At 36.6% G+C, this 17,669-nt stretch overlaps 1 annotated feature.

Moving 5' to 3' along the window:
• Nucleotides 435–1,045: an enhancer, noted in NCBI's record as "OCT4-NANOG hESC enhancer chr14:83417453-83418063 (GRCh37/hg19 assembly coordinates)". NCBI's record gives its function as "activates a minimal SCP1, AML or CMV promoter by ChIP-STARR-seq in primed H9 embryonic stem cells {active_cell/tissue: H9 hESC(primed)}" and the evidence as "EXISTENCE:reporter gene assay evidence [ECO:0000049][PMID:30033119]".

Here is a 17,669-nt window from a genome sequence, read left to right as displayed (position 1 = left end):
AAATCTCAGTATCTACAGGGAGAACATAAGGAGAGGCAAATACAACTATCGCACGGCCAATGTTTAGAGTACCTGCTTAGTGTCAGGTATTGTTGGTGCTAAAAAACAATGTGACAAAGCCTTCATAGTCTTGAGGTGAAGACATATTAAACACACGTAACACCACCTTCACATTGGGATTTCGGAGTTTATGACTCTTTGACAGTACAGGCACAGGGCATAAAACCCATTTGGTTAGGTTTAGAAAGCCAACACATTCACATTAGAACTTTGGATTTTATGATGCTTTAGGATTGTAGGAACAGGGCGTAAAGCCCATTTAATTAGCTTTAGAAAGCCTTCTTAGAAGAGGTCAGAGTTTTAAAGGACAGAGAGCCATTAGTCCAATAAAGGAGGATTTGGGATATGGAGGTTATACCGTACAGATGGAACAGAATGTGCAAAGCTTTAGAGAAACCATCATTTGTTACAAATAGTACCTCACTGGAACAACTTGTGTGTTTCTATGTGGGTATGATTATACACCTTAGATGCTAAAGGGAAAAGAGTGAGATATCCCATCATCATTCTATGACATCAAAAAATACTTGCTATTTTTCAGAGATTTCTCTTATGACAAATTCTAGGAAAATATTTGTGCAGTGAACAAATTAGTTAGTTAGTAAACTAACTCTACCCATCACAGTTAGGCCTTGGACCCCAGTCTCAATATAGATCCCTTGTCATGTAGATTGACCATTGAGAAGGAAGCATTTTGCCTAATTGAAAGATGGCTTGTTATGTAGAATCAAAGGCAGCAGCCTATTGTCTGCTTTTCCTTTGTGTCCCCATGGCAAGGTTGATTCCCCAGAAAGTCACCTCTCACATAGAGATTGGAAAGAGCACTGAAGCTAAGATGGCATTGAAGAGTTGTCCCTACTGGTGTGAGGGAGCTGGGCCTTCACTGTCATCAACCAGTTATTGGAGGAGCCTGACTTTGGCATGGAAGCATGACCTTGGGCACAGTGACTCTCTTTAGCTCAAATAATTCTTACAGGGAGATGCAGATACAAGCTGTCAGTCACTAAGATTTTAGGCGACTGGGGGAATGAGTGTTTCAGTCCCAAAAGGAAATTTTGAGTGGTGTACAACTGTGTTTAGTACAGACCTGGAACCTACCGCCAAAATGTTTCTTAACATTCCAATCTGAGTTAAATCTGTGAGAAGAGAGGAACACAATTGTCAGCAACAGAAGTTTTAGCTAAGTGTTTAGAGGAACTGGTTGTCAATTACCCACTTGAAACCTTCACATGAGGAAAGGTGGAGATAAACTTACCCCCCACCTATCCCATACACAAAATAATGAAGCTTCCCAAAGAAAGGTTTTATCAGTCCAGAGAACTATCTTTATCAGGCCTCTTAGAATAGTAGAATTATTAAACTCGAACCAGAGAGTTCTAGGAACCAACAGTGAACTGCATTTCATTCACACTACTGCTTTTGACATAATATGTGAAAAACCAATCACAGGAAATCTGTTGAAAAAATATTTAGAATTATCCAATATAAACTTTATGAACTATAAAATTATTTACTATATCTTGACTAAGTGTTTCTATTAATATTTCTACACACACACACACAGACACACACACACACACACACACAAATTCTCTTCAGATTTATGAGGTAAGGTTAGGAATAAAAGGCCACAGAGTTTTAATCTCAAGGTATGTGCTTTCAATGGGCCATTGGTTGCCTTGGCTTAATTCATTGTTCACCTTACAAGTATAGGCGACTTTTTTTTTTTTTTTTTTTGAGACGGAGGGAGTCTCGCTCTGTTGTCCAGGCTGGAATGCAGTGGCATGATCTCAGCTCACTGCAAGCTCCACCTCCTGGGTTCACGCCATTCTCCTGCCTCAGCCTCCCAAGTAGCTGGGACTTCAGGCGCCCGCCACCATGCCCGGCTAATTTTTTGTATTTTTTAGTAGAGACGGGGTTTCACTGTGTTAGCCAGGATGGTCTCGATCTCCTGACCTCGTGATCTGTCTGCCTCAGCCTCCCAAAATGCTGGGATTACAGGCGTGAGCCACCGCACCCAGTCCTGATTGTTTTGCTTGAGCTAAACTGTATTTGCAATTCTTTATCTACCTCTGTTAAATTTGTTGCTTGGTTTGACCTTGAAGATCTGTAAGTGTTTCATTTGCCTGTTTAAAACCATTGTTGCTATTTCTTTCAGGAAGAATGAAGAGCTAATTCATGCAAAAGAGGGGAACAGACTTGAATTAATCCTAGAGATAAACCTAGCATTTGAAGACATAGCATTCTTATCTGTCAAACAGATGAAGCTTTTAAGCAATGATCCACTATGTTCAGTGAAAACATCCATAATCTACAATTAAAATACCTTAGTTCTGTCATCTGCTGTCTGAATAAGAATGGGCAATGTATTAATCTTCCTGAGATATAACTCAGTTGTATTAACATGAGAATGATAATGTATTCATTATAGGACTGTAAAGATAAAACAGATCAAGTTTTTACCAAATATTTGTAGAAAATTAATGTCCATCAGCCTCAGGAGTCTGAGAATAAAAATGAAGTCATCATGTCAAATACCACAAGCTTCCAAATATTCATGAGGAGGAAATCTTACCTAACATTTTGAGAAGTCGAGACTTATCTTACATTTGCTCATGGCCATCTTCATTGGCCCATGTTCTTTCTTCTGAGGACACAATTCATTGCTGATCTCCATGGAAGCACTATTTGCCTTCCTGCCTTAAGGGTCAGTTCCCAGTGCCACCCAAACTGCAATACGAACCCTTTAAATGCTACAGGATTATTTTCCATGTTCACTGTGATGCTGAAACTCATACATAAATGAACAGAATCACCCTTTTCAGCAATCAATGGCTTCTATCATTCACCTGTGTCTCAAAGCAACAATGCTGAATCTCTGAGTTGTAAATAGATTCTAAAGAATGATGACACCTTAAATTTCTTCCAGAAGTGTCTTTATTTCTATGAAGAATGAAGTCTACTTCCTATAGTTGGGCTAGAAAATGACATTCATACTGTACTACACATTAGTATTTTGACTCTGTCCTTTCTCCCTAGGCAGTCTCATGCAATTTTTACTCAGTACGTCATAGGCAACTCCTTCATGTAGAAAAGCACCTTGAGTTCTAAAACCTGATAGAATCCAATTGGTCTCTTTCTACATTCCCTGCTATACTAATAACCTCTACAAGGCAACAAAAATATGTTATAATTTAAGATGATGTGAAGTATCCATTCTGTACCCTATAAATATGTGCAATTATTACCTGTCAACTGAAAATATAAAGGGAGAAGAAGGAACTCAATTAAGATGATAGATATGTTCATTTGCTTCACTATTAAAACCATTTCGCCATCTATATGTATATATCCCATAATATCATGGGTAAATTTTTTTTAATTTATAATACAAATTTATTTTATAAGAAGTTATTTTAAAATAAGTTGAGATAATGTATCATTTGAACACAGCTTACCTACAGGCTAACGTATTTTCGTCAGTTTGATAATAAAATGATAATTGCTTCTTATGGAGTATTATTCAGAAATTGATGTCATTTGCAATTTTAGTTTGTGAATCTGTTTTAACATTTTGGAGCATTGGCTACAAAAACTCTGTTATTAACCTAAGATCATTTTGTACAGTATGGTTTTCTTAGAAGCAAATTAGTTTATTTCCAAGTATCAGAAATTGACAGCTTTAGAGATGGAGTTTCGCTCTTGTTGCCCAGTTTGGAGTGCAGTGGTGGGATCTCAGCTACTGCAACCTCCACCTCCTGGGTTCAAGTGATTTTCAGCCTCCCGAGTAGCTGGGATTACCGACATGCACCACCATACCCGGCTAAATTTTTTGTATTTTTAGTAGAGACGGGGTTTCACCATGTTGGCCAGACTGGTCTTGAACTCCTGATCTCAGGTGATCCACTCGCCTCAGCCTCCCAAAGTGCTAGGATTACAGGCATGAGCCACCACATGCAGCCAAATAGGTGACTTTCTAAAAGAAAAAGATGCAGAAACTTGCTTACGTACACTTGGGAAGTAAGGATGGGCAGAGATCCATGTAACCTAACAAAAGAGTTTTTTATTACATCTTGGGCAGGAAAACTTTCCTTGATCATATTTGGCAGCCAAGTTTAATTTTGCTATTTGACTAGGATTAGTGAAACGTGTATTTCTCTAACTACAGTTGTCAATTACTCATTGAGTGAGACACAGAATGCATTAGATTCCGATGCCGGATTTCAAAATCAGAAGAAATTTCCTTCCCCAAGTGGGTGCAATTATTGGATAGTTTGAATGTTCTTCAATCATTATTAGCATAGAAAGAAAAGATTAAATTAAATAATCCCTGATTGTAAAATATAGTGCATCTCACTGAAGGAAATTTGTTTGGAAATAATAAAAGGCTATGCAGAAACTAAGGAAACCTCTAATTATGAGAAACGGAATAGCAAGTCTTACAGCAGAATAACTTATTGGACAAAGCAAGTGTTTTGAGGGGCCTGAAAAGAAGCTCCTTTCTTTCATAAATTAGGCATGAACTAAATATAAAAGAATGAGAACTTCTAAAATAACATATTCACTCTACTTTTCCTGCAGATAGCTTAGGACCAGGCATCAGGAAAGGGCTGGCAAAAAAGTGAATAACTCAAAGAAAGACTTTTTAAGTACTTAGCATCAGCAAAATTCCTCCTTCTGGAGAACACCAGGAAATAGGTTGCTTTAGGGGTGTCTGCTTAATAAAACTACTAATTCCCCAATATAAAAATAATACACCAACTTTCTGTAATTTTTGGAAAACATTCTCACCTACAAAGAAAATAACAATAGCCCTACAAAATGTCCCTACCCAGCGAAAACCATTTTAATAATTAAAATGTGTTTCTAACCAGGTTTTTCTTTATACAGGCATTTGACATTATAACAAATTTATAATTCAGTTTCCCGCTTAGAATTTTAGCCTATGTGTTTCCCTACCATTAAAAAAATGACTATACATCATTTTAAAGGATGCAATTATTTTGTTATCTGTCTTGCCAAAATTAACCACTCTGCTGTTGCACATTTAGTTTGCATTTGATGTTTGATGTTAGAAATAATGGTAACATATATGTGCTTCATTTTGAGAGTGTTTTTCCTAAAATATTTTTGAAAATGTAGTAGAGAGGTGATGTGAACAAAGAAAGTCAATTTGGGGAGTCTACACGATATACCAGAATTATTCTCGATTCTTTATCACTGTCATAGGCTTTCAATCTGTACCTAATTTGTGTCTGTCACTGAGATTCAAAAGTATGTGCCTATGAGTCTTCTGTTAACCAAACCTTACCTGTTAGGCAATTTACAAGAAAGACTAAGGTAACTATAACAAGATTACTCATTCTTGGGAACTACTAGAAAGCACAAATGATGCTGAATAAGGCTTGGTGTTTGTTGGTCAAATTTGTATCTTGGCTTAGCTCCACAGTCCCTGGAAAGGAGAAGAAAGTAAACACAAGCAAAGTATTGCTTGTCTAAAATTATGCAGATAGATGGGAAATAGTTCTAAATGTTTGAATATAAAAGAGAAGAGAAAAAATTGCCCACCTTATGAGCAAACTCCAAGCACTAGCTCTTAATGATCTTCAGTGCAGGAATGTTGAGCAAAAGGTAGCAACCCCCGCTGGAAGCAGAATATCAGTGGAAGCCTCTGTGTTGTCCTGCTGGGACCAGGTCATTAATGCTGCCCAACATTTGCTGGGCACGGCTGCCACTTCTGAAGCAAAAATGACAGCCAAGACCAACAAATTGGAGGTGTCCAATGGATGCAAGAGATACCTAGCAGATGTGGCATTACAGTGTCCCTGAGTCTAACTGACACAGTGGATTTAGGAGTCAGGTATTTTAAGCACAGTGGAGAGACCACCTGAAAATTAATAGAAATTATTGGAGAGGAAGAGAGATAGGAATTTGCTGGAGGGTGGGGTTCTGCTTATTGGAGGAGGGGAGAGGAAGAGGGTAAAAACAAAGAGACATACACCATGTATAAACTCATTTAAGCCTATTGAATACTGTATTTGCTAAGCTGAGAAGGTTAAACAACTATCTAAATTAACTAAAGGAGAGGATATGTGGGAGGCGCAGGCAAAGGAAGCTGCATTTTGAGAAACCTGTATTAAACAGTCCCATTAGTTCAATAACATGAATGTTATTAGAGCAGGAGGAGCTGCCCTTGGGTCTAATATAATTATAAATTCCTATGGCAGACCCAAGATATATAGAGACACTCAGTTTCAAACTGTAATTCCTGAGATGATGCTACAGTGGTGAAAGTTAGACATCTTCATTGATGGATTTTTATAGCTCCTCCAAGCTATCATAGCCCCTTTGGGTTGGCTTATTATGCATGGAGGCAGGAAATGACAGAAGACACTCTCAAGGCAGTGCTCTCCCTCAACTGCTATTACACAAGCTTATTCTTAAACGCATTCATTCAGGAAAATGAGCTCCAATGTTTCCTTCCTTGCAGCTGTGAAACTAACTAGAACAAATGTCCAATATGGATTGATCAACATTTAGTTAATTTTCACTGCCTCTGTCCATGTCGGGTCAGCCATAACCTACATACAATTCTCCAGCCAGTTAAAGGCTCAAAAATCTCTTTCATTTTTAAATAAAGTTCATCCTGTCAGAATTTACTTTTTACGTTTTATTAACACCCACAAAATTCCATCTCAATTAGTCCCACAAGGGAGCATGAGCCAAATAAGTGGTTTTCAAACATTTTTTGCAGAACTGTGCATTCCCTAGTACATTTTTAGATTGGCATAGATTATTATTAATAAACTATGTAATTTCTCATCAATTGTACATGTATGTGTAACTAATATACAGTTGACCTTTGAACAACATGTGTTTCAATTGCATGGGTTCCCTTAGAGACAGATTTGTTTTCACCTCTGTCACCCCTAAGACATCATCATTGACCCCTTCTCTTCCTCCTTCTCAGCCTCCTCAATGTGAAGGTGACAAGGATGAAGACCATTACAATGATCCACTCCACTTAATGAGTAGTAATTATATTTTCTCTTTCTTGTAATTGTCTTAATAATATTTGCATTTTTCTAGCTTACTTTCTGGTAAGAATACAGTATATGTTGCACATAACATAGAAAATATGTCATCAACTGCTTATATTATCCATAAGACTTCCAGTAAACAATAGGTTATTAGTAGTTAAGTTTTGGGGAGACAAAAGTTACACAATTTTTGCATGGACGTTGGTGTCCCTAACCCCTGTGACATTAGGGTCAATTATACATCTTCATCAAAATTTAAAGAGGCTTATATAGTTAATTAAATTTACAAAGAATGTCCATCACCACATAATTCCAACAGCAAGTCAGCCATCATTGTTGAACCATTCAGCCACCTCAGACTTACTGTAGGAAATAAGATCTATGGTTTTATTTTTCAATTCAAATAAATGAGTTAATACAATTCTATTTGACAATCATCTTACATTTAAAATAAAAATGTGAAGAATAGAGAGATAGACAGAAGAGAGAAAACTAGGCATAATCTTGCCATAAATATATTCATTGTGTAAGACAATTTACTATTTCTTTATTATTATTATTATCATTATTATTATTATTATTATTATTTTTTGAGACAGAGTCTCGCTCTGTTTGTTGCCCAGGCTGGAGTGCAGTGGCGCCATCCCTGCTCACTGCAAGCTCCGCCTCCTGGGTTCACGCCATTCTCCTGCCTCAGCCTCCCGAGTAGCTAGGACTCCAGGCGCCAGCCACCACGCCTGGCTAATTTTTTTGTATTTTTAGTCACACCCGGCTAATTTTTTTTATATTTTTAGTAGAGAGAGGGTTTCACGGTGTTAGCCAGGATGGTCTTGATCTCCTGATCTCGTGATCCGCCCACCTCAGTCTCCCAAAGTTCTGGGATTACAGGCGTGAGCCACCACGCCTGGCCACAATTTACTATTTCTTATGGAATCTCTCCTTGCTTTGCTTTCAGGGAATCTCACTCATGAGCACTGCATTCTTCAACAGCACTTTTTTTTTCTTTTTTGGCATTCAGTATTTTACACTTTAAGTCAATGCACTGTGAGTGAGAGAATGACTGCCCTTTATAAAATGAGAGAAGAGGTGAGAAGGGAGAAGCAGTGAAGTGCCAGTTACACTCTCTGGAAGACACGTTTTAGGAGAGAGAGTACACCTGGAAGCTGAGGATCTGGGAAACGATTTTCTAAAAACCAACTGCTTGGAAATACTCCATGTCCTTCAGTGGTATATTTCTCATGCACTGATCTATGTCTACTTTTTCTGGAATCCAGTGTTTTGCAGTGAATTTGGTCATAGTTTTTGAATAAAACTGAATAGGTTTCTTATAGCTCAGGAGCTGAGCCCAACTTTGTTCTTGATTTGCTTCACTCTTAATGGTTGCAAACATACGAATCCTCTTTATCTTGTCTTTTTCTCCCAATGTCTTCCAGATTCGCTGAGTTAATGTATTTTATTAAATTTATAACTATTTTTGATTAAAGTATTACTTAAAAGTGGACATATATATTACAAGGTGAATTTCAATTATGTGTGCACTCACGTCAGAATTGTGTTCCTTATTTTAATGACTATAAACCTTGCTCTTAGTCAGAAGCCTCCAGGACATTTTTTTTCATTTTTTTTTAAATTACTAGTACCTGGATCTTATCTCCAGAATTTTTTATTCATCTCATATGATATGAGGACCAGTCATGGGCATTGTAAAAAAAATAGTAAAAATGTAATTCTAATATGCAGTCCATGTTCAAAAGTGCTTTGGTAATGAAAACTCCTAGAATAGAGAAAGGGGAGAAAAAGACCAAACACAACAAGCTTTATTATGAGTAAGAGGTCTCTGAGTTACCATTCATGTCAAATCATCGTATTTCTGTTTGTCCAAGCAGTTTAAAAATACAGATTAAGTAATCATTTCAAGAATCACTTGGAAATTGGATTAACCCTGAGTATTCATTATTGCAATAACCAAAAATTACTCCGTCAAGCTCCTGAGCTTATTTAAAAATCTATTATAAATCAGACTAAGATTCCAAGGGAAGGCCTAAGAAATAAAGCAATGTTACAAGCATGTAAAGAAACTTTGATGTACTTTTTGTTGTTCAGTAATTTTGAGTTTACTGACAGAAAACATTTTTGAATAACCAAAAATGGATAAGAAGATGAGGCATCTAGATCTTCTTAAATATTCACAATTCTAGAAATTATTGCAGCAGCCTCATAGCTGTCCCTCCTTAAATTCTTTCTGATAAAGAGCTTAAAGCACAATACAACCTATACCCTCCTAGTAAATTGGTTTTTACTCCAGTGGCTTCTGCTGGATACAAATTAGCATGAATGAACCCCTAATGCATATTCTTCAGAGGAAATGCTAATTATTCTCACTGGGCAAAATTTAAAGATCTCAAAATGGAGGCATTTTTTAAAAATCAGTCTACCTCACTTAGAAAGGAAATAAGTGTGAAGGTAAAGGGCTTAAGGGGTAATGAAGGTTAATTGCCAATTATACAGAAAAATTATGCAAAAGCAGGATAAAAACCACTTTCAAGAACTATTGCCCTTTCTTTTATTTGTGTTACAGTATTATTGTGGTTTTTTTTTTCCCTCTTTTAACATTGTTCTAAATTAGTTTGGTCTCTGTCACTTTTATTTAGATGTAAAATTTTCCGCAAAATATAAAACAATAGTAGTGACCATGACCCATTAATTAGATCAAAAGAAATATCTCAGAGAGAAGGAGGGCAAACTAAAAAGAGTGTTCTCATTTTGCTGAACTCTCCTGAGTAACATTAGAACAACTGAGAAGTTAAAATAGTCCATCTTCCTTGTGTATAAATGCTATTCCAGCTATTTTGAAATGAAACATTTAAAACAGCTGTTTTGAATTAAGGCAACATTAAAACTATTAGGTTTCAGCCAGGCGCGGTGGCTCACACCTGTAATCCCAGCACTTTGGGAGGCCGAAGCGAATGGATCATGAGGTCAGGAGATCGAGACCATCCTGGGTAACACGGTGAAATCCCGTCTCTACTAAAAATGCAAAAAAGGCCGGGCTCAGTGGCTCACGCCTGTAATCCCAGCACTCTGGGAGTCCGAAGAGGGCGGCTTGCCTGAGCTCAGGAGTTCGCGACCAGCCTGGGCAACACGGTGAAACCCCGTCTCTACTGAAATACAAAAAGTTAGCCGAGCGTGGTGGCGGGCCCCTGTAGTCCCAGCTACTCGGGAGGCTGAGGCAGGAGAATCGCTTGAACCTGGGAGGCGGAAGTTGCAGTGAGCCGAGATCCTGCCACTGCACTCCAGCCTGGGCAACAGAGCGAGACTCCGTCTCAAAAATAAAAAATAAAAAAATAAAAATGCAGAAAAGAAAAAAAAATTAGCTGGGCATGGTGGCGGGTGCCTGTAGTCCCAGCTACTTGGGAGGCTGAGGCAGGAGAATGGCGTGAACCTGGGAGGCAGAGCTTGCAGTGAGCTAAGATCACGCCACTGCACTCTAGCCTGGGCAACAGAGCGAAACTCTGTCTCAAAAAAAAAAAAAAAAAACTATTAGGTTTCATTCCGGTCACTTGCCCTATACTCCCGGTACACATTAGAAGTTCACATCATGTATGTGATCCAATTTGTCCTTCCATCCTTTAAAATATCAACAAAGTTGCATTCATTTGTGCTCCAATTGGACATCCATTGAGAAACAGGTTAAATAAATATTTATTTCTGTAAACCTATCAAAATCTATAGATGTCTAGTTCTCATACTCTAGTCGTTCTGAACCAATTAAACTAAACATCATCCAACTAGTGGAGCATCCTGGGATCTATACCCAATCAAAAAGATTGTGAGTTCAGACCCAAATGGGTTTTCAGACAGCAATAGCAGGTTGAGGCTGGGTTTGAAAAATTACACTGACTTAGAGAAGCCATACAAATATTGACTAGCTTTCATTTTGTGGGAAAAACAGGGTACTGACAAGTCACTTGAAATCATCTAGAAGTGATTGGTGATTTCAAAATGATTACCTTTTCCAGTACCTTAAAGTCTAAAATTTTGGCAAAATTAGATGTTTCAATGTATGTTGACCACACATAACCCAGATGCTTTCTCGTGGTTATCTTTAGCATCCACACATTACTGTATGGTTTATAGTCATTCATTCAATTATTCTCTTTTTCTTTTTGTTCAACAAATAATGACTGGATCTTTTACAAGGTGATGGTGATGCAGAGAAAGACTGAACTTGAATGTGCCCCTATTTTTCATTAATTCACAGGGTGCTAACTAATTGTTGTAGACAGAATTTTAAAATGTATATGATTATACACCCTGTATAATCCTCTCTCTTGATGTAGGCTGGACCTGTGAATATAATGGGAAATCACCCCCATAACTATGACAAAGTCCTTTAATGAACTATGAGTTGATCAAAGGGGAGTTAATCATGGGTGGGCCTGACCTAATTATTTGAGCCCTTAAAGAAGACAAGAAGCAGCAGCAAACACTTTTCTGCTGGTCTTTAAGAAACAAACTGCCATGTTGTGAGAGGAGGAGGTCAGGAGACAAGGACCTGAGGCTGAACTCTGCAAACTGAGAAGTCTTTGACCAAGAACCGGCAAGAAAATGGGACCTCAGCCATGTAATGGCATGGAAATACATTCTGCCAAAAACCTATGAGCTGGAAGAAGACACTAAGCCTTAGATGGGATGGTAGCCACAGTTAACACCTTGATTTCAGCATTGTGGGATGCTGAATAGGACTCAGCTAATCTATTAATATAACTGGACTCCTGACACACATAAGCTGGAAACCGATAAATTTGTAGAGGTCTAAGCCCCTAAATGTGTAATAATTTGTTACATAGAAAGAGATAGTTAATATACAGACAGATACATAAACAAAATATATATAATAAAATGTTTAAAGTAGTATGGGAGAGGCTTGTGAAAAATAAGGTAGGCACAAAGGAAGTGTCATAAAATCTTCTTGATAGGATGAGGTAGCTTCATGAAGAGGTGACTGTAGGTTGATAGATAAAATTTAGTTTTGTCTGTAGTGTGTATTTGCTAAGTGTCTGTTATCTGGTTAAATCTAGATATTGGAAAGAGAAACATAACAGAACCATGTCCCCAGATCTTGAGCAATTAAGATACTGACAATGTGCAAGTTAGGATAGTGCATAAAGCAGGGGCAGCCCAGAGCAAAGGCAGGCCAGTGATAGCTAAGATGTTTTGGGAGCTTATTACGTAATGATCACTATTCTAAATATTTGAGATATATAAATATATTATCATATTTAATTCTTATGCAACATAATGGCAGGATTAGTATTGCCATCCCCATTTTAGTGATGAGAAAACTGTGGCATAGATGGGTTAAGTAAAGTTACCCAAGGTCATTCATCGAGCCATTAATTGGCACAGTTGAGAACTGATTTCATATAGTCTGACTGTAGAGATTCTGCTTATAGCCACAGTGCTATAATAAGAGTATAGAATGGCATAATGTAGCTTACCATATTCTGGGAAGCAATTTTTGCTTTGGATTTTCTATTGTCAACTGGATGAAGAATATTGACCAGTTCTGTTCTCTCTTGGTTAATGTGTCATTGATATATCCGCCTTAAACTAGCAAGTGACAGTGAAAAATATGTGGGAGTAAAAAATGCAATTGTATCCCTGGACTATGGGGGGTGTATCATTAATATAGGAGTTATTGAATAAGAAAGAAGTGTAGGTTAGAGCTCAGAGAATTAAGAAAAAGATTACATAACCAAAGACATATAATCTCAAACAAATACTTAAAAGTATTCCTTTTAATACTTTTACCTATATATGTTACTTAGGTAAAATATATTATTTTGGTTTTACCTAAATATATTATAAAATAGTGCAATTTAATGTTGTAGTATCTTTTGCATGCAATAAAATATATTTGTGATAAAATCCAGAGTTCCCAATCTCTCATTACAAAAGTCATTTGAACTTTTCAAGGTTTTCTAAAATGGAACAGAGCAATGTAGGATTAACACGCAATTGTCCCCCATCACATCCCGGATTAAAAAGCATAATTTTATCTGAAATAAGAATTATACAAAGTAAGGTTTATAATTAGATTCTGTGATCCTATTCTAAGGCTTCAATTTTATGATGTGTATTAATCTTGCATGGAACTTTGCATTCTAATAGGAAATAGGGTAAATTTCTTAATGTTCAAAGACCAAGTGGAATTGGTGCCCATGTACGCGTAGATATTTTTACAGAAAACCATCATTCAATACTCTTTTAGTCAAAATGGCTTTAGTTAATAAAGGGGAAAAACATTACCACCTCATGAGTGAGATTCTTTTTGCACTTCTTTTGCAGACTCTACTCCCCTATTAAGTTATTGCAAACATTCTTTCTGATTCACAGATTCAACTGAAGTTCTTTACACTTAGATGTGAATAAATATTTTATGTTAGTGTTCTCGTCCATGAAGTTAGAAATTGGAATGCCTGCGTTTGTCATTTTTGTTTTGTTTTATTTTATTGAAGGAGAGAACAGAAAATTTTGCTTCTACACATGAACTGAAATAGAGAAATTGTCTTTTTCTACTGTCATTACCACGTTTTCCTCAAAGTTCAGGCCCTATTTCTAACACCTCAATTGTAATTCTGTTATCTTGGAAATGTGTTTTTATGATTTCTGATACTATAAAGAAGAGAATAATCTGAGTGGGAGATAGTAAAGGTGTGTTCTTGACTCCGTCTTAAAGAGAAAAAACCTGCTATGTTAAAAACATTGAGTGACATTATTGTTGAATTACAGGACATATTTCTGGAGAAGCAACATGTTTTCTCAGGACTTTATACACACTTTTATTCAGAAAGTAAAAATGCTATTTAAAATATTCCTTTAGATTTTATAAACTTATAATTTATTCATTAAGAAATACATACACACAATTAAGAGATTATTTCCAGGCAATAATCTGAATTTTTTTTCTGTATTTTATTCTACCTGAAGATGCTCTCTACAGCATCAATAGCAGAAACAGACATATAAAGTGATAAATTTCCTTTGCTTGATTCCTGTCCTCTAAGAATAAAAACTGTGGCTGTATTGTTAAAACATTAAAAATTATATTTCTTCATGACTCAATGTCCTGTATTTCCTTATGCAATGTGACCATAGCAAGAGTTTATGTGGCAGAGTGAACAGATTGAATTGAAAAGTAATCACAATAAGAGTCTGAATTGTGTTCATTTAATATTTAACATATTTATTATATATCTTCTAGGTGGTAAGGACACATACCAAAAGTGTAACATGGACCCTGTCATCAAATTACATAATCTGAGCAATAGGGTACAAAAACACAGAGAATATAATAAACATTGATTTAATAATAGAATCATAAATTTAATGATGATTTCTACATATGGTACAGTGAGATCATACTGGGTAAATGACACAGGAAGAGACTTTTAACATAAAAAGTGTACTATTCTCATCAATGAACAGTGAAATGGTGCTTATGCTATGTCTCAAAATTTTGGAGGTAAGATGATAAGTTTACATTCATTATAAACAACAAACCTGTGTCTACCAGAACAGGTTAGGGCAGAAGTATATTGTAACCTATAGGTTAATTCTTTTGATATTTTCGAAGATAATTCTTGTCTTAGAAACCAGTGAATATGGTGCTTTAATCATTTTTTGTGTACACCACATTTTTAAATTTTATTTTATCAACTTATATTTTAAGTTCTAGGGTATACGTGCAGGATACGCAAATTTGTTACACAGATAAACGTGTGCCATGGTGGTTTGCTGCACAGATAATCCCATCACCTAGGGATTAAGCCCAGCATCCATTTACTATTCTTCTTAGTGCTTTTCCACCCCTTCCCCACCCCCTGACAGGCCCCAGTGTGTATTGTTCCCCCACCATGTGTCCATGGATTCTCATTTTTCAGTCCCCATTTGTAAGTGAGGACATGCAATGTTTGGTTTCCTTTTCCTGCATTAGTTCGTTGAGGATAATGGCTTCTGACTTCATCCATATCCCTGCAAAGGACATGATTTCATTCCTTTTTATGGCTGCATAGTATTCCGTGGTGTATATGTACTACATTTTCTTTATCCAGTCTATCATTGAAGGGCATTTGGGTTGATTCCATGTCTTTGCTATTGTGAATAGTGCTGCAGTGAACATACACAAGCATGTATCTTTATAATGAAAGGATTTCTATTCCTTTGGGTAATACCCAGTATTAGGATTGCTGGGTCAAGTGGTATTTCTGGGTCTAGGTCTTTGAGGAATCGCCACACTGTCTTCCACGATGATTGAATTAATTTACATTTCCACAAACAGTATAAAAGTGTTCCTTTTTCTTCCCAACCTTGCCAGCATCTGCTGTTCCTTGATGTTTTAATAATCACCATCCAGACTGGCCGATACTGAGATGGTATCTCATTGTGGTTTTGATTTGCATTTCTCTTTGATAGTAATGTTGAGCTTTTTAATCATATGTTTCTTGGCCGCATAAATGTCTTCTTTTGAGAAGTGTCTGTTCATGTCCTTTGCCCACTTTTTAATGGGGTTGTTTTTCTTCATAAATTTCAGTTCCTTGTAGATTTGGGATATTAAACCTTTATCAGATGGATAGATTGCAAACATTTTCTCCCATTCTGTAGGTTGCCTGTTCACTCTGATGATAGTTTCTTTTGCTGTGCAGAAGCGCTTTACTTTAATTAGATCCCATTTGTCAATTTTTGCTTTTGTTTCAATTGCTTCTGGTGTTTTTGTCAGGCAATCTTTGCCTGTGCCTGTGTCCTGAACGGCATTGCTTAGATTTTTTTCCAGGGTTTTTATAGTTAGGGGTTTTTCATTTAAGTCTGTAATCAGTCTTGAGTTAATTTTTGTATAAGGTGTTAGATAAAGAGTCTAGTTTTAATTTTCTGCATATGGCTGGCCAGTTCTCCCAGCACCGTTTATTAACTAGAGAATCCTTTCTCCATGGCTTGTTTTTGTCAGGCATGTTGAAGATCAGATGGATATGCTGAAAACAATTGAGAGTTTTAGAAGACATGGATACATTTATTCAACATTAGGAATATTTTTTCCAACGCATAAATGTACTTTTTATTGATGAATGTCACAGCCAAAATATGTTTTCAAAATTGAAGAAAAAAATAGCAAAGGGAATTCTTCACAGCTGGACCTCCTTGTAGACACTATTAAGGAATGGCAATGGAGTATCTATGCTAAATTAAATACATATGGAAGTTACAAGAATATAACTCACATTTGAGAGTTTGGGAAGAGAAAAGCATAACTGGGATAGATTATAAAATACTATTTTTCTAAACATCTCACAGCACCTATGTGTGGGAAAATTGGTTTGGATGCATATTCTCTTTCTCTCTCCCTGTCTCTTTCTCTCTCTCTCATTCTCTCTCTCTCTCTCTCTCATATCCATATTATACACACTATATATGGAATATAGAATTAATTCAGTTTGTACCACTTTGTTTTTAATCAACTATTGTTGAAGGTAATTCTATTAAATAGCTTGTGTTTGGAAAATATAGTTTAAAAATATATGTACATATACATATATAATTTGTCAATTTATCTCATTGTTGTCATCTTAAAGGCACAAAATTTCTTTCTGTCTTACTTTTCTCCTCTTCCTGATTCTTCTTTCTCTTTCACATCTCTGCTAATACCTCTCTTGATACAGATTCTTTTCCTATTAAAATAGACCAGAGTTTTCAATATCCAGTGGTTTCTAAAAAGCCAAATTTAAGAAAAATCACCTGAACTTAGTCACAGAACAATATTCAGGTACCTTAAAATAACATGGTCATGTTGCTAACTACAAAATAAATTAAATCTAAAAAACAACAACAAAAACCTTCTGCTTTTTTTTTTTTTTTTTTTTTTTTGCCAAGATGAAGTGTATTTGTCTATTTTCATGCTGCTAATAAAGACATACCTGAGACGGGGTAATTTATAAAGAAAAAGAGGTTTAATGAACTCACAGCTCCACGTGGCAGGAGAGGCCTCACAATCATGGTAGAAGGTGAATGAGGAGCAAAGTCACGGCTTCCTTGGTGGCAGACAAGACAGCGTGTGCAGGACAACTCCCCTTTATAAAACCATCAAATCTCATGAGACTTATGAGACTTATTCACCATCACGAGAACAGCACTGGAAAGACCTGACCCCCCCGATTCGGTTACCTCCCCCAGGGTTCTTCCCATGACATGTGGGAATTATGGGAGCTAAAATTCATGAGATTTGCGTGGGGACACAGCAAAATCATAATGGAGTAGAGGGAATATATTTACCCTTCCCCACCAAAAAAATCACAAAAAAAAAATTTAGGATAGTTAACATCAGACAGTGATGAACAGTGATTACCAAGAAATAGGAAACAAATAATGTGAGCCCCGAAATAGCTCCAGTTTACTATCTTGTGAAAAAGTTTCCAAGCTGAGGCACAGGGCCTGGGAACTCAGATTTCAGAGACCTCAGGAGACAGGGTTAAGAGTCCCAGGGAAACCACAGTTGATTGAATAGAGTCTCCTCAG

The sequence above is a fragment of the Homo sapiens genome, chromosome 14 (assembly GCF_000001405.40).
Source record: "Homo sapiens chromosome 14, GRCh38.p14 Primary Assembly".
NCBI classification, from domain to species: Eukaryota; Metazoa; Chordata; class Mammalia; order Primates; family Hominidae; genus Homo; species Homo sapiens.
This window is presented reverse-complemented; position numbering and strand designations above follow the sequence as displayed.